General features: G+C 39.6%; 1 non-coding gene and 1 pseudogene across 3 annotated transcripts; both read left to right on the top strand.

Annotated features, from left to right (window-relative positions):
* The first annotated feature begins 92 nt into the window (after positions 1–92).
* Positions 93–27129, top strand: SMG1P7 (SMG1 pseudogene 7; annotated as a pseudogene). 2 transcript variants are annotated; one of them, NR_171688.1, is made up of 21 exons: positions 93–172; positions 1094–1191; positions 2911–3083; positions 5450–5674; positions 11267–11397; positions 11552–11713; positions 12418–12536; positions 13008–13095; positions 13185–13286; positions 13906–14046; positions 14599–14798; positions 15187–15273; positions 15552–15716; positions 16818–16972; positions 19450–19592; positions 19737–19940; positions 21599–21854; positions 24230–24339; positions 25309–25456; positions 25830–25989; positions 26719–26899. The product of NR_171688.1 is annotated as an SMG1 pseudogene 7, transcript variant 2 (transcript). The 2 variants fall into 2 exon arrangements; NR_033959.1 differs by lacking the exons at positions 93–172; positions 1094–1191; positions 2911–3083; ... (11 more) ...; positions 19450–19592; positions 19737–19940 and adding an exon at positions 26915–27129 and having other exon boundaries at positions 20677–21854; positions 26719–26798.
* LOC124903795 (small nucleolar RNA U13) lies at positions 13628–13731 on the top strand. The gene has a single exon (XR_007065240.1). It is a non-coding gene; the product is annotated as a small nucleolar RNA U13 (small nucleolar RNA).
* Positions 27130–27445: the final 316 nt, after the last annotated feature.

Genomic DNA, 27445 nt, shown 5'->3' with positions numbered 1-27445 from the left:
AGATGCTCCTTTTAGGATCTTTTGCTGTGGAATGGTCCACAGGTGAATGGCAGTAATATCTTAAAATGATTGGCCCCCTCTCTCTTTGTTTCCATCAAGGATACAGTTGATATATTAGTTGGATGGCATATAGATCATACTCAGAAACCTTCGCTCACGCAGCAGGTATCTGGTAAGTCTTGCAGCCTATACCAGTTATTTAAATACTGTCGGGGAGGAGCAGTGGTCCCCCAGTGACCATCTATCAATAACATTTCTTTAATAATGCAAGAAAACTAATTCAGAGAAATGTTATATTGTAAATGAACATTACTTGTTAGCTAAATATATATTTTCAGAAGAAATTACTAGTAGGTGGGTAGAATAAGTACAGACAGGACTTACCCAAGTTATTTGTAGTTTGTACTGGTAGGAAAAAGTATATGGTAAGAATATATTGCAGTGGCAATACCCTGAAGTGGACAATGGAAGATCCAAGTTATTTGTAACATTTTATTGTTTTTCTGGTTATTTTTTTAAAAAAGGAAATAGGGTTAATTTGGAGAATTGTCATAAATGAGAAATGGTTTTGTTTCCCATTTTTTTGGAGTTAAGTGAATGACTAGCATGGCTCATTTGCACATTTCAGCTTGTTTCAAGTGTCATAGTTTCTCGTAACTTACTTGGTGTAATAAACTTTTGAAAATAGGATATTCAGGTGATAGTGGTCTGTTTCATTTTCACTGAGGAGATAAGTATACACCTTTAATGGTTAGATGTGGCCCTGGGATTAGCCAGGCCAATGGTAGATTGTGGCATTTTAGTGTTAAGTCATGTGTAGTGACAATATAGATAGGAAATTTACTGAAAAAGTAAGGAAATAACATTTACATGTTAATTTTTGCAGAAATTAAAGAGGTATTAATTAAAGAGGTATTGGTTAATCGTGATCAGCATGTTTAGCAGTCTTAATTTTATGATATAGGACATGTTTTAGGGTATGCTGCTTGAAAACCGGATACTTTTTAAAACAAGCCTCTTATATTTTTTTAATTTGGATTTTTTGGTGTTTTTTCTCCCCCCACCCTTTCACAATTTCTTATACGATTCCAAGGGTGGTTGCAGAGTTTGGAGCCATTTTGGGTAGCTGATCTTGCATTTTCTACGACTCTTCTTGGTCATTTTCTAGAAGACATGGAAGCATATGCTGAGGTGAGTATATAGAAAGCTGTTTCTTAAAATTTTGGTTAAGAAAAAATCTTAAATTGTGCTAGATTTATTTTAAAATGGCTCAGACCTCCTGACATTTAAGCAGAAATTACAAGCCCATTGCAATATTTTGAAAAAAAAATTTTTTTTTGAGACGGAGTCTCACTCTGTCACTCAGGCTGGAGTGCAATGGCACGATCTCAGCTCACTGCAACCTCCACCTCCTGGGTTCAAATGATTCTCCTGCCTCAGCCTCCTGAGTAGCTGGAATTACAGGTGCCCGCCACTATGCCCAGCTAATTTTTGTATTTTTAGTAGAGACGGGGTTTCACCATGTTGGCCAGGCTGGTCTCAAACTCCTGACCACTGGTGATCCACCCGCGTCGGCCTCCCAAATGCTGGGATTATAGGCATGAGCCCCCGTGCTCAGTCAGTATTTTAAACATTTATTTCAGATGTATTTAAGTTACCAGGAGAATTACTGGAGAGACTAAAAGAAACGTTGCAAGCTTCGTATTTCGCAAAGCTTTACATACTCTTGGTAGCTGGTATTTTTCTAAAGACATTTTTTGTTATTTATTTTTATTTTTTGTTCCCAGTCTTCAGAGTCTTAAAGCAAATTGATGTTGTGTTATAAAAAAACACAAAACACCAAAAGCTCCTAAAGATTTTCCTCTTACATATGTACGGGAGATCTGAATCGTACTTTGGAGGACAGGCCTTGGCTTCAGCCAGCTTTTGTGGCTGTACGAATATAGCATAGGAGCTTTAAGAGCACTGCTGAAGCCTCTGTTACTGGTACTTGGCTTTTCTGGCCCCACTGTCATGGCTTAACTCTGTGCTATCTCTTATCTGAATCTCTTTGTGTTTCTCCCCTATTCAGATCAACCAATCAAGGCTCCCATAAAGATTTTGGCCTCATCTTGTTTTTATCATCTTTGCTGCTTGTAGTCAACAGGAATTCAGTACCTTTAGCTGTACTGATGTGTTTACTCTTTCCTAGAAAAGCAAGGAAATGTTTTGCTTCTGTGTTGTTTTTTCTTTGCCCCCACACCTAGAATGTCTTTTTTCACAGCCCACGTTTAAAGCTGATCTACCTCTCATAAGCCACACATTCTAGTTTGTAGAGATGCTTCCCCTTGTTATCCTTAAGATCTCATTCTCTTCTGTTATTTTGGTGCTTAATTTTAGGTAAATGTATAGATTGGTTCTAGTATCCTAGTTTTTGCGAATCTTGTCCTTTTCATATATCGTACTTCTTCAGTTACACATCTGTAGACCAGGTCTTGTAATCTCCCTTTGCTCTTCATGTGCATGCTCTTGGTTTGGAGGACTTACTGTTGAGCTGAGTGGCTCAAAGAATACCTAGAATGAGATTTTTAGCCAAAAACTAATTCAGGAGTGGCAAAAGCTTCCGTCTTCATTTATACCTACATATAACTAGAGCATATGTGCTAGAATTTATTTTTCCCCAACAGCTTTCTGAGTTGATTTAAGAGATTATTTCCTTAATTTGTTGTCTATTGGGTTTAATGTTGGCTTTTTGAAATAATTAGGTAAAACCCATTTTTATATTCAGAGTCATGAATATTCTCATGGGCCACAGTTCTCTTTCTAAAAGCCTAAAAATCTATTCTAAAATGAATTGATTGAAATATTTTAGAGTTTTTTTTTTTTTAAACAATGTACTACTTATTAAGAATGCTGTGAATTCACATCTAGGACCTCAGCCATGTGGCCTCTGGGGAATCAGTGGATGAAGACGTCCCTCCTCCATCAGTGTCATTACCAAAGCTGACTGCGCTTCTCCGGGTATTTAGTACTGTGGTGAGGAGCATTGGGGAACGCTTCAGCCCAATTCGGGTCCTCCGATTACTGAGGCATACGTAACAGATGTAAGTGCTTTTGGGCATTTGAAGTGTCATTCAAAAATAAAATTGTTTTACATTGTAAATGCTTCTCTTTACCAGGTGAACTGTTATTAATCCTTCATTTGTTTAGCATGTATGTATGTATGTGTATATGTATATATTGTCTGACTGCTTTCTTAAATAACCAGAAAAGCAGGGAATCCTTTTATATCTCATCCTCCTTTCATCCAACTTCCCTACCCTCCCATGACAAAAGGCCACTCTGAATTTTTAAATCTTATTCTTTCATTTTTAAATAATATTTCTTATAATTTTACTTTTAAATTATTGGGTTTCCTTTTAGTTTTTCAACATATTACGAATAGCACACTATAGGAGAAGCCTCAGAAAGTAATCTTCTCTGAGCATAAGATGGAACTCATATGAAAACTTGTATATCTTTATATTCTTTGATAGCCTGATATCAAAGAACATAAACAAATTAAAAATGAGGTAGATAGATTGCCACACTTCAGCAGCCTCAAACATTAGCTGCACTGTATATAGCACATCCAATGAGGGTTCAGTGGAAAAGACACAAGAAATGAACCCCAGGCATTGTACTCGGCTGTGAATAAGGAGAAAGAAGCATGTGTGATACAGTCATAAAAAATTTAATCTAACTGATGAAAATTTTACCGTTAGGATAAAACTTGCTTTTAGGAGCATATACTTTTGCTGAACATGTTGCTAAATAAAATAGGATATTGATTATATAGTAAGTTGTGTACTTGAGCAGAAATGTCAGAACTTAAAGATAAATGAAACCAGCATATCGGTATTTTAAACCAATATGGTTTCAAAATGGTTTAATATCTTTGCTTCATTTTTAATGTCTAAAAGGTGGTTGTTTGAAGACTGTACAGAGTTGAAATAAAAAGCTGTTAATTCAGACATAAAATAAAAGGGACATAATTTATAGGATAGGTGTATATTGATTTATGAGGATCTTTTAGGCCTTTGAGAATGGTAGAATGGTGGGGTTTTTATTTTTTTATTTTATTTTTATTTATTTTTGGAGCTGGAGCCTCACTCTCTCACCCAGGCTGGAGTGTAGTAGTGCAATCATAGCTCACTGTAGTCTTGAACTCTTGGGCCCAGGTGAACTTCCCACCTCACTCAGCCCTACAAGCGGGTGTCACCATACCCAGCTCTTTTTTTTTTCTTTTTAAAGTGGGGTGGTGCCATCACGACTCAGTGCAGCCTCTATCTCTTGGGCTCAAGTGATCCTCCCACCATAGCTCCTGCTAATTTTTTATTTTTGTAGAGATGGCGTCTCAGTGTTTCCCAGGCTGGTCTTGAACTTTTGGCCTCAAGCAGTCTTCCCACCTCAGCCTCCCAAAGTGTTGGGATTATAGACATGAGCCACTGGTCTCTGTTGCCCAGGCTGGAGTGCAGTGGCACGATCTTGGCTCACTGCAGCCTTGACTTCCCAGGCTTAAGTGATCCTCCCACCTCAGCCTCTCAAGTAGTTGGTGGGACTACTGGTGTGAGCCACCACGCCCAACCAATTTAAAAACAAATTTGGTAGAGATGAGGTGTTGTTATGTTGACATGGCTGGTCTTAAACTCCTGGACTCAAGAGAACCTTCCAGCTAATCCTCTCAAAGTGCTAGGATGATAGATGTGAGTCACTATGCCCAACCTCCAAGGATACTTTTAATGAAAATTATGGGTAGACTAAATAAAATCCTGTATGTATTGGTTGTTAAATATTATAGAAGTATTTTTTAACATTTGCTCTGTTTTCTCCCCTATTTTATTAGAAATTTAGTACACAATTATTGGCCATTATAGTTAAGTGGGGGATTTTGTTTGTGTGTGTATTGGAAATCATATGATTTTTGAAGATACTATGTGGTAAGCATGAGAGTGCTTATCTTTCAAAAGAGACCATCAGTAGATAGAAAGTTTAATAAGCTTAAAGTGACTTGTATGTTCAGTTTTGAAAGATTGATTCCCAAAAGCCCAAGAGCTAGCTTGTAGTATGTGTGGGCAGGCTATTCCCATGCTGTCAATACCATTACTGTCGTGGTGTATTTCATGATAAAGATTCTGAGCTTCAGCCATTTAGTGACATTGGGAGAAACGAAGTTGGGTATATGGGAAATAGAGGATGGCAGATTCCATTTCCTGTCATAGTAGCACTTTAGGATTTTTTAGCCAAGATCATGTTTACATATTGTAGTAAAGGTATCATTATTCAGCTACTGAGAACTAGAATATTAAGAGACTGCTGGCAAGGCAAGCAGTTAATTTTCAGTTGAAATTGCATTAAATAAAAAGTATTTCCTTGCTTTGTGGAAGCACGTGAATTTTTTTAAAAAGCTGCTTGTTTTCCCCATTTACAGATTCTGTACAGAGTAATGAGATGTGTGACGGCTGCAAACCAGGTGTTTTTTTCTGAGGCTGTGTTGACAGCTGCTAATGAGTGTGTTGGTGTTTTGCTCGGCAGCTTGGATCCTAGCATGACTATACATTGTGACATGGTCATTACATATGGATTAGACCAACTGGAGAATTGCCAGACTTGTGGTACCGATTATATCATCTCAGTCTTGAATTTACTCATGCTGGTATGTGAATTATTCTTTTCCTTTTTAATGTGTTGGTTTATTCAGGCCCTTAAATCGATATGTAAGAAATTAAGGGCTTTGTCTGGGTATGGTGGCTTATGCTTGTAATCCCAGCACTTTGGGAGGCCAAAGCAGAAGGATTGCTGGCATCCAGGAATTCTGGCACAGCTTGGGCAATGTAGTGAGACCCCATCTGTACAAAAAGTCAAAAATTAGCTTGGTGTAGTGGTGTGCACCTGCAGTCCTAGCTACTCGGGAGGCTGAGGGAGGAGGATCGATTAAGCCCAGGAACTTGAGGTTGAAGTGAGCTCTGATTGTGCCACTGCACTCAGCCAAGGTGACAAAAAAGGCCCTGTCTCCAAAAAAGAAAAAACATAAGGGCTTTGCTTTATTATATTATTTTTTTAGAGTACATTCATCAGTCTTATAATCTATGCCTTCATTTTAGTGTCTATTTACTTTTATTTTTAATGCAATTTTTTTTTGAGACAGGGTCTCACTCTGTTGCACAAGATGAAGTGCAGTGGCATGATTTTGGCTCACTGTAGCCTTGACCTCTTGGGTTCAGGTGATCCTCCCACCTCAGCCCCCCAGGTAGCTAGGACTACAGGCGTGCACCACCACACCTGGCTAATTTTTTATATTATTTTGTAGAGATGGAGTTTTGCCATGTTGCCCAGGCTGGTCTTGAATTCTTGGGCTCAAGAAATCCACCTGCCTTGGCCTCCCAAAGTACTGGGATTATAGGCATGAGCCACTCTGCCAGGCCTCTATTTTTAGTGGTTGATAGCTAGTCTCAGTGTAGCTTTACTCGTTTTTTCTGAGGAAACATTGCTCTACGCACCAGATTCTTTGTTTTTTGCTTTTCTTTTCTTTCTTTTCTTTTTTTTTTTTTTTTGGTCACAGGATCTTGCTATATTCCCCTGGCTGGAGTGCAGCGGTACAATCAGAGCTCACTGCAGCCTCAAACTCCTGGGCTCAAGTGATCCTCCCACTCAGCCTCCCGACTATCTGGGACTACAGATGCATGCCACCATGCCTGGCTAACCTTTGTATTTTTTGGAGAGAAGGGGTCTCACTGCATTGTCTAGGCTGGACTTGAATTCTTGGTCTCAAGTAATCCTCCTGCCTTGCCCTCCCAAAGTGCTGGGATTACAGGTGTGAGCAGTCATGCCTGGTCTCCTTTAATTTCTTTTTTTTTTTTTTTTTTTTTGAGACGGAGTCTCACTCTTTCGCCCAGGCTGGAGTGCAGTGGCACAATTGTATTTTTAGTAGAGACGGGGTTTCACCATGTTAGCCAGGATGGTCTCGATCTCCTGACCTCGTGATCTGCCTGCCTTGGCCTCCCAAAGTGCTGGGATTACAGGCGTGAGCCACCGTGCCCGGCTGGCCTCCTTTAATTTCTTAACCATAAATATCCTCCCCCCACTTTTATTATGGACATTCTGAAGCACATAAAAATAGGGAGCATAGTATAATAAATTTGTACATATTTAACACTCAGCTTCTATAATTAGAAGCAAACGGCCCATCTGGTTTCATCTAGGCCTCTTTGCTATCCTTTCATCTCTAACTGGCTTATTTTAAAGCAAATTCTAGATGACATTCTGCTGAGCATTTCTGCCAGAATTACACCTCTCTTTGCTAATGTGAAAAAATGCCCATGATAACTGTAAAATAAGTGTGTCCTATTTAGGTGTCTAAACACTTTAATGTCACAGTATTAAGGCCTTAAAATATAGCTTAGATATATTTTTCTAAATTAAAAGACTTTATTTTTTAGATATACAGAAAATTGAGCAGAAAACAATGAGTTCCCATATACCTTCTTCATCCCAACAGTTTCCCCCTCATTAACATATTGTGTTAGTGTGGTACATTTATTACAAAGGAGTGAATATTGATATATTATTATTAACTAATTTCATAGTTTACTTTGTGTTATGTATTCTATGGACTTTAACATGTGTAATGACATGTATCCCCTATTACCAGTATCATACAGGATAGTTTCACTTCCCTAAAAATCTTTTATGTTCTACCCACTCCTTCCTCATTCCCTCTCCCCACTCCTCCCTCCCTCCATCTTAAGCCCATGGCAACCCCTGATCTTTTTACTGTCTCCATCATTTTGCTTTTTCCAGAATGCCATGTAGTTGGAGTCATATAGTATGTAGCCTTTTCAATTGGCTTCTTTCACTTACCAGTATGCATTTAAGGTTTCTCCATGTAACAAACAGCCATATTTAAGACATGCCTGGATAAATAAAATTGGTAGGAATGTTTTCTTGCCATTATATTTAACTTTTCTTCTTTTTCCTTGACAAATCTTGATAAGTTTTTTTATATTAGTTTTATTTTCTAGAAAATGTCTTATGAATTTCTCCTGTTTGCTCTAGCATGCTTATAGAAAATGTCAGTGTTTCTTACAGCTCAAATTTGTATAGTTGTTTTAAAATGCGGTCTCTTTCTTCTTCCCCTGGTACTTTTTTCTTTCTGTCTACTGAAGTTAGTTCTTATACATGGTCTTATATTTTGGCTGTCTCTTTTTCCCTAGAAACATTCATACAGGTTGAATATTCCTTATCTGAAATACTTGGGACTGGAAGTGTTTTTGATTTTGGATTTTGGAATACTTTTTTTTTTTTGGAGATAGTGTTTTACTCTTGTTGCCCAGGCTGAAGTGCAATGGTGCGATCTTGGCTCGCTGCAACCTCCGCCTCCCAGGTACAAGCGATTCTCCTGTTTCAGCCTCCCAAGTAGCTCGGATTACAGGCATGCGCCACCACGCCTGGCTAATTTTTTTGTATTTAATAGAGATGGGTTTTCACCATGTTAGCCAGGCTGGTTGTGAACTCCTGACCTCAGGTGATCCACCTGCCTTGGCCTCCAAAAATGCTGGGATTACAGGTGAGCACCACCATGCCCAGCCGGATTTTGGAATATTTTCATAACACTTACTGGTGAGCATCCCTAATCTGAAAATCCTAAATCTAAAATGCTCCAAAATTTGAAACTTTTTGAGCACCAGTATGATGCCCCAAGTGGAAAACCCCAAACCCGACCTCATGTGATGAGTCCAAACTGTTGTATGCACAAAATTATTTAAAATATTGCATAAAATGATCTTCAGGCTATGAATAGAAGGTGTCTATGAAACATAAGTGAATTTCGTGTTTAGACTTGGGTCCCATCCCCCACATATCTCATTTTATATATATGCAGGTATTCTCAAATCCAAACATATACAAAGTCTGAAAGACTTCTGGTCCCAAGCATTTTGAATAAGGGATACTCAACCTTTAGTCTTTCTTTTGGGGGGGGGGGAATTTTTTTTTTTTTTTTTGGAGACAGAGTCATGCTGTTGTCACCTGGGCTGGAGTGCAGTGGTGCAATCTCGGCTCACTGCCACCTCTGCCTCCCGGGTTCCAGCAATTCTCCTGCCTCAGCCTCCCGAGTAGCTGAGATACAGACACCTGCCACTATGACGGGCTAATTTTTGTATTTTTAGTAGAGACTTGATTTCACCATGTTGGCCAGGCTGGTCTCAAACTCCTGACCTCAGGTGATCCACCCGCTTCAGCCTCCCAAAGTGCTGGAATTACAGGCATGAGCCACCGCGCCCAGCCTGTGTGTGTTTTTTTTTTAAGTAATTTGACGTGGCCCTGCTCTTGATTTGTATTTATTGTTTATGGTTTGTGTATTTCTTCTTCCTATTGGACCACACAGAGTTGAAAAACATTATTTTTAATAGAAAATAATAGGTGTAGGCTGGGCATGGTTGCTGACACCTGTAAACCCAGCACTCTGGAAGGCCAAGTCGGGCTGATCACTTGTGGTCAGGAGTTTGAGACCAACCTGGCCAACATGGTGAAAGCTCACCTCTACTAAAAATAGAAAAATTAGCCAGGGGTGGTGGTGCACAGCTGTAATCCTAGCTACTTTGGAGGCTGAGGTAGGAGAATTGCTTGAACCCAGGAAGTGGAGGTTGCAGTGAGCTGAGATCACACCACCGCACTCCAGCCTGGGCTACAGAACCAGACTCTGTCTCAAAAGAAAAAAAAAAAAAAAGAAAGAAACAAAGAAAGAAAGTAATGGATGTAATTAGGGAATAAAGTTTTTAGGAGGAAGAAGGTAAAATTTGATGTTTGCGCTTCAATGTGCTCCGTGTTGTTTGATTGGATTGCCTTGTATAATTCCATAGCTGCTTCGCTTATTACCAGTTACAGCTTATGTTTGAAGTCACAATAAACTCTTCTTCAAACATGAAAGCTTGATTTTTGAGGAAAATTATTCACATTATTTACAGATTCAAAGATGTTTATGTCCTGTACTCTAGAAATAAGGAGAAAGTGGGTGGGGATGGGGCAGTCAGGTGGAATGGAGTGTCTTGGCAGTGTAAAGGAAAAAGATGGATGGAAAAGGTGTAGAGTGGCAGGGTGTGCCTTTGTTTCCTTATTGAACAGGGCACCTTGCCATTTGCAGTATATGGAAAATTGAGGAAATACAGTCTACTTCCACAAAAGGCACATACAAAGGGCTCTGTTTAGATCAGAGATCAGCAAACTATGGTCCGTGGGCCAAATACAGCCCAGCACCTGTTTTTTGTTTGTTATTTTAAGTGTATAATTCACTGATTTTTAGTATATTCACAGAAGTGTACAACCATCACAACACTAGTGCCTGTTTTTGTAAAGAAAGTTCTCGGGCTGGGCGCAGTGGTTCACGCCTGTAATCCCTCAGGAGACTGAGACAGGCAGATCACCCGAGCTCAGGAGTTCAAGACCAGCCTGGCCCACATGGTGAAACCCTATCTCTACTAAAAAAATACAAAAGTTAGCAGGGCGTGGTGATGGGCACCTGTAATCCCAGCTACTTGGGAGACTGAGGCAGGGAGAATTGCTTGAACCCCAGAGGTAGAGGTTGCAGTGAGCTGAGATCACCCCATTGCACTCCAGCCTGGGCAACAGAGCGAGAGACTCCGACTCAAGAAAGTTTTCTTGGAACACAGGTACTCTCATTCCTGTGTTTTGTATGTGGCTGGTGTTTTGTTTTGTTTTGAGAGAGAGAGTCTTAACTTTGTCATCTAGGCTGGAGTGCATTGGTATGATATCGGGTCACTGCAACCTCTGCCTCCCAAGTTCAAGCAATTCTCCTGCCTCAGCCTCCTGAGTAGCTGGGATTACAAGTGTGCGCCACCATGCCCAGCTAATTTTTGTAATTTTAGTAGAGATGCGGTCCCGCTGTGTTGCCCAGGCTGGTTTCAAACTCCTGGGCTCAAGTGATCTGCCCACCTTAGCCTCCCAAAGTGCTAGGATTACAGGTGTGAGCCACAACACCTGACCTGTGGCTGTTTTCTTACTGTAGCGATAGACGAGGAGTTGCTGCATTGCATAGAGATGCTATATTGCACGCAAAGGCTTTACTGACTTCACAAAAGAGTATTTGTCCCAGGTGTAGTGTACTAGATCCCTTCCAGTCTGTAATTTTAATTTAAAAATGTCCAAATACCCCTGTTTTGAAGGATAAACTCTGTATGCTTGTGCTTATTTTGGAGAAGCCATAAACTTACTTTGTTTTGTACATGATCAGATGTGGGCGCTATCTCCAACTGTCTTTGCACTTCTGAGTAAGAATCTGATGATTGTGCACAGTGACCTGGCTGTTCACTTCCCTACCATTCAGTATGCTGTGCTCTACACTTTGTATTCTCATTGTACCAGGTACTGTATTCACAAATTTTTCTTAACAAAAGAACCCCACAAAACATTTTATTTTTTTAATGGATAGATTTTAAAGATGTATGTTGATTTAACTTTGGGCTTGCTTGCTTTCTTTGATTAAAGATGAAAAGATAATCTATGCTTTGTCTTTCAGGCATGATCACTTTATCTCTAGTAGCCTCAGTTCTTCCTCTCCTCCTTTGTTTGATGGAGCTGTGATTAGCACTGTAACTACGGCCACAAAGAAACATTTCTCAATTATGTTAAATCTTCTGGGAATATTACTTAAGAAAGATAACCTTAACCAGGACACGAGGTAACAGATATTATATAGTATTAACTATTCCTAACTTTGTTAATTTGCCTTTATAATTTGAGAATAAGAAATGTGGATTACAAAACATTTAAAAAAATGTGGATTATAGAGGTGAGGTAGAGCAGCTTCTTTATTGTCAAACACCTTATAATTTGGTTTTATTATTTAATCTAGGCTTTCTTATTCTTTCTGAAAAGAAATACATGAAAAACCTCAATCCCTCACCCCCAGTGTTTCATAGAAGAATATATATAGATTTTTAATATTCTATGCTTTTTTTTTTTTTGAGACGGAGTTTTGCTCACTGCAACCTCTGCCTCCCAGGTTCAAGCAATTCTCCTGCCTCAGCCTCCCAAGTAGCCGTGATTACAGGTGACCGCCACCACACCCAGCTAATTTTTGTATTTTTAGTAGAGATGGTGTTTCACCATGTTGTTGGCCAGGCTGGTCTTGAACTCCTGACCTCAGGTAAGCCACCATGCCCGGCCTCTTTGCTATTATGCTGCGTTGGGAGGTTTTCTTAAAAGGCACACAACAATTTTGACAGTAATTTCTATAGTTTCATTTTTTATTTTTATTTTTTATTGTTTGAGATGTTTGAAAAACCAAGAGAAAACCAATGTAAGAAGACTAGGCTTTTAACGTTTTTTTGTTTTTGTTGTTGTTTTTTTTGTGTACAGTCAACTGTATATTTTGTGTTTCAGGAAACTGTTAATGACTTGGGCTTTGGAAGTAGCTGTTTTAATGAAGAAGTCCGAAACATATGCACCTTTATTCTGTCTTCCGTCTTTCCATAAATTTTGCAAAGGCCTTTTAGCCAACAGTAAGACTCTGTTTTTTTTTTTTCTATTTTGTTTATCAGTCCTTAAAAGGGTCTTTGGTAATGGGAGATGGTCATCAATCGAGCTCTTTTCCTGACCTGAAGATGTGTAATCCTCATTTTAATGACAGATACACAGTCTTGATTTTTTTCATTCTTAGTATTAGAAAAATGTTTTGAAGTGATTGTCACATTTTTAAGCTTATGTGAATGTTTATATTTTGCATATACTTTTACATTTTCTCTCAGAAAAAGGTTTGTGTGATGACCCATCAGTTACATTACATGGGTTTTGTTGAATGTGTCATTTTTCCAAATGTGACAGTCAATAAGGATTCTGGACAAGAACAGTGCCTAGTCTGTAGTAGGCACTCACTCTTTGTTGAATGAATGAATGGATTCAGATAATTATGACAAACTGGGATATAATTTCTTTTGGCCAGCTGAAAGTAACTGTCTTTTAATGTTTAATAGCTCTCGTTGAAGATGTGAATATCTGTCTGCAGGCATGCAGCAGTCTACACGCTCTGTCCTCTTCCTTGCCAGATGATCTTTTACAGAGGTATGAAATTAAGATCATGTCTTTTGACATTAACCCTAATAACCTGGAAATGTTAACACACCTGCTTTGTCTATTTCGTTCTTTCATAGATGTGTTGATGTTTGCCGTGTTCAACTAGTGCACCGTGGAACTCGTATTCGACAAGCATTTGGAAAACTGTTGAAATCAATTCCTTTAGATGTTGTCCTAAGGTATAACAGTTGTTTTGGAGCAAAGACATTCTGTTATATTTACAGCCTCTACTGGTTGTCTACTTTAGGAGAAGACAGATCACCTATTAGAGCATTAATGACACATCTTTTATGGCCCTGCTTGCCAGTGATTGAAGTGATGTCAAATAATCAAATTTTGCAGTTCTGCAAGAAAATTAAAAATTTTTAATGAGCTTTATAGGCTCACAATAATTAGTATAGAATAACTCATGTAGTGCCAAAATATGTTTCTTAGTAGCTCAGATATTTGAAAAACTAAACAGTAATCTTTCATTGTTTTTGATCAAGTTGATTTGGGAGCTTTTAAGAGCCTAAACTTGATCCTTTTGTAATACATAAGCATAATGATTGGGTTTTTATGTTCACATGTTTGATATGCCTCCCTCAAATCCTCTTATGATGTCGGCACATTACCCATCTGAGGTGAATAAAAAAAGGATCTAAAGTTGTAATCACATCTCTGTATCCATTTTAAAGTCTCTATTTTACTATATTTTTACCTCCAGTGAGTTAATAAGTAAATAATCCACTTACAGTAGGTGCTAACCTTTTAAGCTAAAATATTTTGCATAACAACAACTTTATTTTCTGTCTACAGCAATAACAATCACACAGAAATTCAAGAAATTTCTTTAGCATTAAGAAGTCACATGAGTAAAGCACCAAGTAATACATTCCACCCCCAAGATTTCTCTGATGTTATTAGTTTTATTTTGTATGGGAACTCTCATAGAACAGGGTAAGGCATTTCTTTGACTATTTTATCTGGGAAAGATAATTTTAAGATTCCCTTGACTTTACATGCAGTTTTGAAGAGAAAATATGTTTGGGGGTGGCAGAGTATCAAGTAACATTCTTCTCATATGGGTTATTTCAGTTTTCATCAATAGGAAAATTGCTTTGAAGATAGCATCTGTAGAAACAAAAATGGGCTTTGAAATTGAGTAATGAAATGTGGTTAACAATTAACTGATGTGATGTCATTAACACTTTGGGGAGTGGGGTGGGGGTGGAGATATTCTAGAGATGCTTAGTTGCATTGAATGAGTTTCATTCCTGACTGGCATGAGCCATTTACCCTAATCATCCTTCCACACTGTACCTCATCCTGTTAACTATAAAAGACCTCAAAATGAGAGGGGGGGACATAATGCTTCTCAATTTCATAGGTTTTGCCTTTTTTTGGAGTAGGGAAAATTACAGTTCCGTATTCCCATTCCCCTTGCATTTTTTTTTTCATTATTAAAATGAAGTTGTCATTGTCTTTTAAATATGAAACTACTTTTCCCAGGAAGGACAATTGGTTGGAAAGACTGTTCTATAGCTGCCAGAGACTGGATAAGTGTGACCAGTCAACAATTCCACGCAATCTCCTGAAGACAGATGCTATCTTTTGGCAGTGGGCCATATGGGAAGCTGCACAATTCACTGTTCTTTCTAAGCTGAGAACCCCACTGGGCAGAGCTCAAGACACCTTCCAGACAATTGAAGGTAACTCGCTCAAGCTTTGTGATGTGAATACTTTCAAAGCCTTATTAAGAAATAATGGATTTTTAAATCTTTGTTAAAGATTTGAGAGTATATGATTTTTTTTGAAAAAAAGTCAATAATTTTCAGGTATGTTTGTTAGAATAAGCTTTCATTGAATAATTGCATTGGAAATATGTTTGGTTTTTTTCCAAAACTTATGGGAGTTGTGTGGAAAATATATATATATTTTTTCCCCTAAAATGAAAGATCTTTCATGTTGGGATTTTTTATTTTTAAATGATGGGTAGACAGAGGATACTTGATAAATGTGAATTTGTCATAAAAAACTCACACTTATTCTAGGAACTTTAAGATTTTTAAAAATTCAGAATGTTGTCTTTGCTTTCAGGTATCATTCGAAGTCTCGCAGCTCACACATTAAACCCTGATCAGGATGTTAGTCAGTGGACAACTGCAGACAATGATGAAGGCCATGGTAACAACCAACTTAGACTTGTTCTTCTTCTGCAGTATCTGGAAAATCTGGAGAAATTAATGTATAATGTATATGAGGGATGTGCTAATGCATTAACTTCACCTCCCAAGGTTGGTTTCCGGGAGATAGTGTTGTTTTATAGCAGTTTAATGGTCACAGCTGGCAGTATGTGCAGAGCTGAAATCACAATAGACTTGTGTATTTGGTTTATATATAGGTGAGACATCCTTACCTACAAATTGAACCAGTCCTGAGCTTTTCTTTCTCTTATCGTAAAGGTCATTAGAGCTTTTTTCTATACCAGTTGCCAAACTTGTCAGGACTGGCTAACGCGGATTCGACTCTCCATCATGAGGGTAGGATTGTTGGCAGGCCAGCCTGCAGTGACAGTGAGACATGGCTTTGACTTGCTTACAGAGATGAAAACAACCAGCCTATCTCAGGTAAAGTGGTGTGTTTGAAATTCATTTTAAGTCTGTTAATAAGAAAAACATGGTTTAATTCCTTTGGTATGATTTAATCTATGGATAAAATAAGTTAAAGCTTGGATTCATTTTCAAAGGTTTTGATCCTGTATTTTGTAAAAGCAACAACTGCCAGAGTTACCTATTTTATTCATGTTAAAACAGTGTTAGAAGTTAAAATAATGTTCATGTTTTTGTTCATGTTAAAACAATATTCATGTTAGAACACGTTAAAACTATATTTCTTACGTGCAAAGTTTAGAACTTTAAAGGTAATTCTGAAAATTTGTTTATGGGGGAAATTATTTATTTATTTATTTATTTTTTTGAGACACAGTTTCACTCTGTCGCCCAGGCTGGAGTGCAGTTGTGCGATCTCGGCTCACTGTAAGCTCCGCCTCTCGGGTTCAAGCCTCTTCTTGCCTCAGTCCCTGGGATTACAGGCACCCACCACCATACCCGGCTAAGTTTTGTATTTTTAGTAGAGACAGGGTTTCACCATGTTGGCCAGGCTGGTCTCGAACTCCTGGCCACAAGTGATCCGCCCACCTCGGCCTTCCAAAGTGCTGGGATTACAGGCATGAGCCACTGCACCTGGCCAGGAGAAATTGTTTTTATAACGTATGACAAATGCTTGAGTAATTCCTGGCTTGCAAGTGGGCTCACAATAAATAACTGGAATCCAAAAATAACAAAATGTTTAGCAATTCAGGTAATGTCAAGCAGTATTCAAACACATGAAGTTAATCATTCCTTAATTCCTGTTTATTTATATTTAATTTTTGCTTTCTTTTTACTCCATGTGTTATTCCTACAGAGGTCACAGGTTAAATGTTTTTGGGTAACTTTGGGGTGGGGGTACAAACATCCATGTGCTGCTAAGGTTCTGTTAGTCACCCTTTGTGGCTATTTTATATGTAAAATTTTAAAGAATTCTGAGCTAAATAATGTGAAAATTGTGAAAATAATTGTTAAATACATTTGGCTTTAAGCAGGCACAGACTGTGATCAGTTGTAAATTTTATAGGGATTTATGTTTTAATGGTATTGGGTGACTAACTTTTCTGAATGCGTTTTCAGGGGAATGAATTGGAAATAACCATTATGATGGTGGTAGAAGCACTATGTGAACTTCATTGTCCTGAAGCTATACAGGGAATTGCTGTCTGGTCATCATCTATTGTTGGAAAAAATCTTCTGTGGATTAACTCAGTGGCTCAACAGGCTGAAGGGAGGTAGGTTGGAGGGAAGGAAATGGGTGACAGAATTACTTTATGTTTAAATTCTTTGTATTACTCACTGACATTGTAGCCAAATCTTAAAACAGCTTTGTTTGCTTTCAGCATTGAAGCTTGCTATAAATCACTTCACCAGGAGGCATCTTCAGTTTGTTCTTTAGTTAGCCGCAATACTGGAGTGCCTTTCTTATTTAAGAATTAGTGGCAAATCACACTGTAAAACAAGACCTGTCAGTTGTTTTATAAACGCTTTTGAACTTGATCCCTAGTTGAGCTCCTTCCCCCTCAGAGTCTGATACAAATTACCCTTTATTGTCAGAGTATTTGCTCATTAGTCCTGTGAACTCTACATTCAGACTCATTGCTTCCTCCAGGTAGAGGAGCTTGTACCATAATATTCTGTGTCCATTTATGTTAGTTTAATGAAATCTTGCAAATTTAGGAAGATAAAAGAACTGCTCATACTTCCATATCTTTGTAGTAACTTCTGTTGTGTGTCCTTTTGTAGTCCCATATTTCCATATCCATATGCTTTGTAATTCTTTTTTCTTTCATGTCGTTTTCTCCATTCTTCACCAAAACATCAGTGTACATAGGCACATGGTTTTATGATCTGTTTTTCCCACTCAATATTTAAAAAAAAAAAATTTTCCGTGTTAGGTAGGCTGGGTTCGGTGGCTTACATCTGTATTCCCAGCACTTTGGGAGGCCGAGGCAGGTGGATCACCTGAGGTCAGGAGTTTGAGACTAGCCTAACATGGTGAAACCCCGTCTCTACTAAAAATACAAAACATATTAGTGGGGTGTGGTGGCACATGCCTGTAATCCCAGCTACTTGGGAGGCTGAGGCAGGAGAATCAGTTGAACCTGGGAGGCGGAGGTTGCTGTGAGCCCGGGTTGTGCCACTGCCCTCTAGCCTGGGCAACAAAAGCAAAACTCTGTCTCAAAAAAAAAAAAATTGCCATGTTAAATATTCTACAGTGTTATTTTTAATAAAGGTTTGTATTTATGAGTGTACCATAATTTAATATTTCTTACTGTTGGGCATTAAGGTTGTTTCTGATTTTTTTTTTTACTAAATGTACCATAGCACTTAATATCTTTGCTTATATTTCTGATTACTTTCTTGGAATCCATTCTCATAAACTGATTTACTAGAAGAAAGGCTGCCAAACCATAAGTCTTATAATATATTCTATTGGTAAGTTACTCTACAGAAAAGATGGCTGCAATGTATACCCTTAATAATAGAGTACCCCCTTCCCTTCATCTTTGTGGATACTGAGAGTCACTGAGAAACAAGAATGCTGCCACCACCATCAGCGAAAATAGTTATTGTACTTTACATTTCTATATTTATTAATGACTAATAGTAGAAGTTGCCCCATATAGTGACCTTTTGTGATTTTTTAAAACATGGATCATGTCTTCATGGCCTCTCAATTTTTCCTGTGTTAATCTGTGAAATTTTATTAAATACTAAGATTGTTGATGCTATCCAATTTCTTGATTTATAATTTGTTTTTAATGTTTAGTGTTGTATTTCAGCATTATGCATCTAGATCTGTTACTTGTGCATCTTTTCTTGCATTTTATCCTTCTACAAAGCCTTTCCACACACTGACATCAGTTACTTATCAATATTTTCCACTAGTTCTTTTATACTCTTACATTTTTTTAAAAACATTTAACCACTTTTAAATTTAGTTTCACAGTTGTGAGGAAGACATCAAACCTCCCCCCACCATAGTCAACTCACTGTTTTAGCTCAGTTTATTCTTGCACCATTTTTTGTGGGGGGGGGAAATGAGATATGTGTGTTTAAAATAACAGCCTCCTTTGGGGCTGGGCGCGGTGGCTCATGCCTGAAATCCCAGTACTTGGGGAGACTGAGGTGAGCGGATCGCTTGAGTCCAGGAGTTTGAGACCACCCTGGCCAACAGAGCAAAACCTTGTTTTAGCCAGGTGTGTTGGTGGGTGCCTATAGTCCCAGCTACTTGGGAGGCTGAGGTTGGAGGATTGCATGAGCCTGGTAGGGCAAGGCTGCAGCGAGCCATGATCATGCCACTGCCCTCCAGCCTGGGTGACAGTAAGACTGTCTCAAAAAATAAGTAAGTAAGTAAGTAAAGGCCAGGCGCGGTGGCTCATGCCTGTAATCCCAGCACTTCGGGAGGCCGAGGCAGGCGGATCACCTGAGGTCAGGAGTTCAAGACCAGCCTGGCCAACATGGTGAAACCCCGTCTCTACTAAAAATACAAGAAAATTAGCCGGGCATGGTGGCGAGTGCCTGTAATCCCAGCTACTCAGGAGGCTGAGGCAGGAGAATCACTTGTACCCAGGAGGCAGAGGTTGCATTGAGCTGAGACAGTGCCATTGCATTCCAGCCTGGGCAAGAAGAGCAAAACTTCATCTCAAAAAAGAAAGTAAGTAAGTAGATAAATAAAGAAATAAGACTGCTTCAATTTGCTTTTCAGGTTTGAAAAGGCCTCTGTGGAGTACCAGGAGCACCTGTGTGCCATGACAGGTGTTGATTGCTGCATCTCCAGCTTTGACAAATTGGTGCTCACCTTAGCCAATGCTGGGTGTAACAGTGCCAGCCCGAAACATTGTCTGAATGGTGAGCGTTCAGTATTTTTAAATAAAGCAAAAGTTATAGTGATATATTTTGTACTGATGATCTTATCATGTTTTTAGGTTTCTGTGCTCTTTGAAATATTTCTAATTGATCTGAATCTCTTCTTATTTTATAAAATACTTTCAGGTGAATCCAGAAAAACTGTGCTGTCCAAACCGACTGACTCTTCCCCTGAGGTTATAAATTATTTAGGAAATAAAGCATGTGTGAGTGCTACATCTCAATTGCCGATTGCGCTGCTGTGCAGGAATGGCAGAATGCTATCCATGACTTGAAAAAGAGTACCAGTAGCACTTCCCTCAACCTGAAAGCTGAATTCAACTATATAAAGTAAGGCTTTCTGTTTCCAGTTATAAAACAAATTTCCAATAACTATGATGTTTTTCCTATGGCAAAAAAATATTAAAATTGGTCATATGTAGTAATACAAAATGGTTATATTTCTAACTTACTGCCATTATGAAAATGACAACAGGAAACTGACATCAGAGATGAGGGAAGGTATTTGTATAATGGGAAAACACTGCTGAGATAGTCATTTGGTATTAATTTTCAGAACCTGTCATTCTAAAACCTTAATAGAGTTTGAAGATTATGCCAGAGTGAATATAAGGAAAAATTTGTACTGATTTAGAAAGAATCACATTTGATGGCTTTGTTTCTAAATGAGGTCTGAATATATCAAAAACATTTATTCTAATGAGGACAGAGTTTGTGAACATCTGTAAATTAAACTTTCTTCTCATTCCTCTGTGCTTTTATTAATTCTGTAATTCAAAACTGAGCACTCACTCTGTTGCAGACACTTGGCTGGGAAGATAAAGGTCATTAGACTTTGTCTGATACCCTTGCTTTCTACTGCTAAATGGGTTAATGTGTAATTGCTTCACTGAGCATATACTATGACCCAGGCAGCACATAAAACAGACACAAATTCCAACCTTTTAAAGCAAAGATTAGATAAAGATTATTGATAGAAGGATTAATTGGACCTCACTCACCTTTTCTGTGCCATAAGGAAAGCAGTTAGGTAAAGCTGACCTTCTTTGGAGGGAAGACACAAGGTCAAGGCATGCCCATCAGGATGCCCTTTGGGCCTAGACCTGATGTGAGAATGATGGGCTTGGAGTGTTCTGGAAATAGCTGGGAGGCCTGTGTGTTTAGGAGCACCTTAAACAGTAGGATATAAGGGCAGAGAAGTAGCTGGGAACTGAGAAAAGAACTTTGGCTGTTATTCTAGTAAGACTGAAAATTTCAGGTGGGATTTGAACAGAGATGTGTTGTGATCTGACTTGGTGGTTCATTCTGCTATGGTGAAGAGACTGGAGGTGAGGGGCAAGTATGGAAGCATGGAGACCATTAATTTGTGGGGGCAATGGTAGAGGGAAGAGAAACAATGCTATTAACTGGAGTAGGAGCACACAGAGAACAAGCTATGTTTTAAGATTTCTAATGAAATGTGCAGATGAGATTGTTGGGTAAGCTGTTAAGAATTGGATTTTGGCTCTCCCTCTCCCTCTCCCTCCTCTCCCTCTCCCTCTCCCTCTCCCTCCTCTCCCTCTCCCTCTCCCTCCTCTCCCTCTCCCTCTCTTTCCACGGTCTCCCTCTCCCTCTCTTTCCACGGTTTCCACGGTCTCCCTCTCCCTCTCTTTCCACGGTCTCCCTCTCATGCCAAGCCGAAGCTGGACTGTGCTGCTGCCATCTCGGCTCACTGCAACCTCCCTGCCTGATTCTCCTGCCTCAGCCTGCCGAGTGCCTGCGATTGCAGGCGTGCGCCGCCACACCTGATGGGTTTTCGTACTTTTTTGGTGGAGACGGGGTTTCGCTGTGTTGGCCGGGCTGGTCTCCAGCTCCTAACCGTGAGTGATCCGCCAGCCTCGGCCTCCCGAGGTGCCGGGATTGCAGACGGAGTCTTGTTAACTCAGTGCTCAATGGTGCCCAGGCTGGAGTGCAGTGGCGTGATCTCGGCTACAACCTCCACTTCCCAGCCGCCTGTCTTGGCCCCCCAAAGTGCCGAGATTGCAGCCTCTGCCCGGCCGCTACCCCGTCTGGGAAGTGAGGAGCGTCTCTGCCTGGCCGCCCATCGTCTGGGATGTGAGGAGCCCCTCTGCCTGGCTGCCCAGTCTGGAAAGTGAGGAGTGTCTCTGCCCGGCCGCCATCCCATCTAGGAAGTGAGGAGCGTCTCTGCCCGGCCGCCCATCGTCTGAGATGGGAGCGCCTCTGCCCCGCCGCCCCGTCTGGGAGGTGAGGAGCCCCTCTGCCTGGCCAGCCGCCCTGTCTGGGAGGGAGGTAGGGGGGTCAGCCCCCCGCCCGGCCAGCCGCCCCGTCCAGGAGGTGAGGGGCGCCTCTGCCCGGCCGCCCCTACTGGGAAGTGAGGAGCCCCTCTGCCCGGCCACCACCCCGTCTGGGAGGTGTACCCAACAGCTCATTGAGAACGGGCCATGATGACAATGGCGGTTTTGTGGAATAGAAAAGGGGGAAAGGTGGGGAAAAGATTGAGAAATCGGATGGTTGCCGTGTCTGTGTAGAAAGAAGTAGACATGGGAGACTTTTCATTTTGTTCTGTACTAAGAAAAATTCTTCTGCCTTGGGATCCTGTTGATCTATGACCTTATCCCCAACCCTGTGCTCTCTGAAACATGTGCTGTGTCCACTCAGGGTTAAATGGATTAAGGGCGGTGCAAGATGTGCTTTGTTAAACAGATGCTTGAAGGCAGCATGCTCGTTAAGAGTCATCACCATTCCCTAATCTCAAGTACCCAGGGACACACACACTCTGCCTAGGAAAACCAGAGACCTTTGTTCACTTGTTTATCTGCTGACCTTCCCTCCACTATTGTCCTATGACCCTGCCAAATCCCCCTCTGCGAGAAACACCCAAGAATGATCAATTAAAAAAAAAAAATTGGATTTTGAACTAAGGAGAAAGTCTAAGCTTGAGAGATTTGCACATCATTAGTACACAGAAAAGGCCCTGTTTCCTTTTCAGTCTCTATACTCTAGAGCCTTTGTAAGCAACCAAACCAGAGAGAAGCCTCTGGAGAATAGTGAGTGAAGAGGAAGGAAGGCCTGGGTCAGAATCCTAGTTTAGCATTTTTGTGAAAGTATAGAAGAGGAAGCCATTCAAAAAAATACAGGGACATTGAGAAGGGAAGTGTCCTAGATATAGGACATCCAGATGGGAGTAGTCAGCCTTGTCAGATGCTCTAGGGATTATAAGGAAAAAGAGTTTTGTAGAGAGACAGAAGAAGCTAGATTGAATACTATTGAGTGGTAGAGACATTTGAAAATGAAAAGCTTGAGGTAAGTTATTTGGTCAGTGAGTTTTTCTTGAAGTCGAGGATAGGAAGCTATTGCTGGAGGGAGATATGAGATGTTTATTTTAAATGTTGGAGAGATTATGTTCTTTTGGCCAAGGGGAAGGAGCCACTAGAAAGCAGAGGTTGAAGAAACAGGAGAAAGAACATTGATAGATTAACTGGCCCTCACCTTTTCTCTGCCTCAAGGAAAGCAGTCAAAGTTGGTATAGACAGAATTTTGGCAGTGTATGGTGGATTGGGGGTAGGGGTAGAGGAAATTAAAGCCTGTGTTTTTTTATTTGTTTGTTTTTCTGAGGACTGAGTCATTAGCTGAAAGCATAGGGCATTATAGAGCATAGTGGGGACTTGAGGAACCTGTCACTGGAGAGGACTTAGGACCTTTTAATGGCAGAAATGACGAATGTGTTGGCAGCAGTTCATCAGTGCCCAGTACTCAAGGGTCCCCCTGAGAAGCCAGTGGTTGCACTGATCTAGGTAGAATCAGGCACAGAATAAGTCAGGTGATGTGCCTTTCTAGCACTGGCCTCAGGCTGAGTTATAAGGGAAGTTACACAGCGAGAGGGACAGGCAAAGATGGAAAAGAGAGAGAGTGAGAAACAGTGTCTTCTTCCTGGCTGGAGAGCCCGTGTCATGAAAATGGGGACAGGGTAAGGGATCTGAAAGGAGCAGCATAGAAGCTGGGAGGATGAGGCCTGTCTTCCTGGCATTGATGCTGCAGGACTACAGGAAAGAATTTCAGAGGTGTCATTATTTTTCATAAAAGCAGATGAAAGAGAAGAATTCTTTGAAAAAAGAAAAGTAGGTGAAAAAGGGAGAGATGGAGGGATGCCAGCAGTGAAAGAAGCCAGGACTGAGATACAAGATTATGATGCTGGGAGAGCTGCAAGGGCTCATGCTGTAGGTGAGGAGTGAGGCTGCACAAGGAGCTCACTGGCAGCTTGGAGAGAACTGGGTGTCAAAGTTGTCCTGCAGAGGTCTACTGTCAGTGTGTTAGGCTCTGAAGAGAACAGGCTGCAACACATGAAAACAGGAAGGAGACACAGGGGCGAGTCAGCTCTACTGAAAGTCTGTAGCTGTGACTTTCTGGTTTGCCACTCCAATTTGAGTACTAATTAAGTGGTAGTCACATCTTCAACATAAAAACCAAAATAATGACATCCTCGTGGAAGGAATTTTGTCAGAAAAATGCTGTGTACTTTGCTGTCTTCCTAGGATTTGTTCTGTTTTTGTTTGTTTGTTTTTTTTTAATGGTTCCACAGGCTGCGTAGGAATACAAGCTAACCAATATTTTAATTACAGATCATTAAGCAGCTTCGAGTCTGGAAAATTTGTTGAATGTACTGAGCAATTAGAATTGTTACCAGGAGAAAATATCAATCTACTTGCTGGAGGATCAAAAGAAAAAATAGGTAGGTATTTGAGAAAATAGTTTTAAAGTTATTTTAGTGGACAAGTTGCTCAAAATGTTTGGCTTAGTATATTTTACTGGAAAATCTGGAAGTCATTTTACATTTTTGGGGGGCAGAATCCCATGTGAAGCAACAAATTTAGGGCTGCCCTATTTAAGTTTGATTTGGGAAATGAAAAGCACTTAAAATTAAGTCAAATAAAAAAATGACCACCTTAATGCTTTGAGATTTATCTAGCCATTTTGTTTGATAAAGGACAAAGTAGTGTTTCAGCTAAATATTTTTCTTGATTTTCATCTTGATGTGGCTCATTAAGTTCTTTATCACAAATGGAACACTTTATAAAATGTTATTAAAAAGTTTAATGAGTATTCTGGATTGAGCAAGATTTGCTAATGCAGGTCTAGATTTGTTCCCTTAAATAGTAGATTGACTTACTGATTTTCTTTTTTGTTGAGACAGAGTCTCACTCTGTTGCCCAGGCTGGAGTGCAGTGGCGGGATTTTGGCTCACTGCAACCTCCGTCCTCTGAGTTCAAGCAATTCTCCTGCCTCAGCCTCCTGAGTAGCTGGGATTACAGGTGTCTGCCACTGTGCCCAGCTAATTTTTTGTATTTTTAGTAGAGACGGGGTTTCATCATCTTGGCCAGGCTGGTCTTGAACTCCTGACTTCGTGATCCACCCACCTTGGCCTCCCAAAGTGCTGGGATTACAGGCGTGAGCCACCACGCCTGGCCTCGACTTACTGATTTTTGAGCCTTTGAAGGCAACTGCTTTTTAGGGGTCTGAGGTACAGTAATTTTGTATGAAGTATGATTTTTATATAGCTCTCAGTAATGCTTATAGTGTTTAACTGCCTTAAATATTAAAGGAGCTGTTCATTGGTGATTAGTTTTTAATAATGCCAAACATAAATCAAAATTTATAATAAAAGCACATTAATTAATGACATTTCATTTAACTTCTGTAGACATGAAAAACCTGCTTCGTAACATGTTAAGTCCAGATCCAAGGGAACCTCAGAAATCCATTGAAGTTCAATTGTTAAGAAGTTCTGTTTGTTTGGCAACTGCTTTAAACCCGATAGAACAAGATCAGAAGTGGCAGTCTATAACTGAGTAAGTTACTCTTACGGAGATAAATGTACATTGTGTATATCATGTGATAAACATACATGGGGTGAAGAGGGCTGGAAGGAGAGTTACTAGATTACTAAATACTAGTGCTAATAGCTTCATTTTAGTTGTAGAAGTCATATGATATATGAATGCTGCTTGCCAACAAAAACTGAGGTTGAAATGAAATAAAATGTAAAAATCCCCAAAAGCAAATGTCTTGACTTGCTAATATCATTTTATTATAGAGCAGGCTGCTCCTCTTACTGCCCCCTAACTTTGGATGTCAGTTTGATAGCATCTTATCAATTGCTTTATTCTTTGAGTGGTTATGAATTGTAATTTTTATTAATTGACAGTAAATATTTTGTTTCAGAAATGTGGTAAAGTACTTGAAGCAAACATCCCGCATCGCTGTTGGACCTCTGAGACTTTCTACTTTAACAGTTTCACAGTCTTTGCCAGTTCTAAGTACCTTGCAGCTGTATTGCTCACCTGCTTTGGAGAACACAGTTTCTAACAGACTTTAAACAGAGGTCTGTATATTTTTACAAGCACATTCTTATGACTATTAATGGTCATTACTGTAGAACAAAGACCTTATTTTTTGAGTTTTTTGAAATAGGATTTGTAGTTGGGCAAGCTGGTAAATCCAGAAATCTAACATGCTGTTTTCAGGCAGTCTTTCATTTGGGAAGTACATGGGGCAGATGGAAGAACCTGAGATAATCGCAAGGATGGCAAATTGCTCAGTTTTTTCTTCTATTTTTGGAGTGGGAGGTGGTGTATGTAAAGACAGTTCCTTTAGGCAGATTACGTAAATTTTAGATTTGCTGCAAACAAAGATCTCTCCTCTTCATCCTAAATGGGGTAAAGTTCAACCAGAGATGGGGGCTTCTGAATGAATGATGATCTTCGAGAACTTCATTATAAAGCATTAGTTGTAATGTTTTTCTGCAGTCTGCTTTATAGTAAATGTGCTGTGACTTTTTTTTTGTAATGTGCTTTATTAAGTATATTGATAAATTAGACTTAATATTCTGAAGAAGATTTCCCTTCAAAACAAAAGGCTTTCTCTTACTGTGTGCTTGCCTCTTGTGAGTAGAAGATAAATGATGTAAGGGTATAGTGTAATAGATAAAACTACTGCAATCAATCTGAAGTAGCCAAACTATATTGCAGTCTTTGACTTAAGACTTGCTATATATCTGCAAACGTATCAACAGCCTGTTTTACGTTGAGTAATTTTGGTTTTTCTCTGGCAGGACTGTCTTATTCCACTCTTCGGTGAAGCTTTACGTTCATGTAAACAGCATGATGTGAGGCCATGGATGCAGGCAGTAAGGTATACTATGTACCAGAATCAGTTGTTGGAGAAAAATTAAAGTTAAGTGGTTTTCCTTTTTTTTTTTGTAAGAGAAAATTAAAGGTGTTTTTTTTTTTAAATTTTGCTTTATTGAGGTTTATATTACACATTCTAAGTGTATGGTTTGATGAGTTCTAACATGTCTTCACTTGTGTGACCACCAATACGATTGAGATACAGAACACCGTCTTACCCCAGAAGGTTCCCTTGGGATCATCTCCTCATTTGGCCCTGTCAGCAGTTACTCATTTGCTTTCTGTCACTATGGATTAGACTTGTCTTTACTAAAGTTTCATGTACGTGAAATCATAACAACATGTTCTCTTGTGTTTGGCTTCTCTTGCTCAGCATGATATTTTTAAGGTTCACCCATATTGCATGTATCAGGAATACAATCCTTTTTATTATTGAGTAGTGTTCTATTGTATGTATATACCACAGTTTATTTCTCCCTTCATTCTTTGCTAGATTTTGGGGTTTTTTCACATTGCACTATTCAGTATAAACCTGCTCTCAACATTCATGTGCAAGTCTTTGAGTGGACATATATTTGCGTTTCTCTTGAGTGAATGCACCTTATTGGGTCACGTGGCTTAACTTAAAAAAATTTTAATCACTGTGGTGCA

Source organism: Homo sapiens, chromosome 16 (assembly GCF_000001405.40).
Source record: "Homo sapiens chromosome 16, GRCh38.p14 Primary Assembly".
Taxonomy (NCBI): domain Eukaryota; kingdom Metazoa; phylum Chordata; class Mammalia; order Primates; family Hominidae; genus Homo; species Homo sapiens.
The sequence above is the reverse complement of the archived record's forward strand: the minus strand, read 5'-3'. Positions and strand labels throughout refer to the sequence as shown.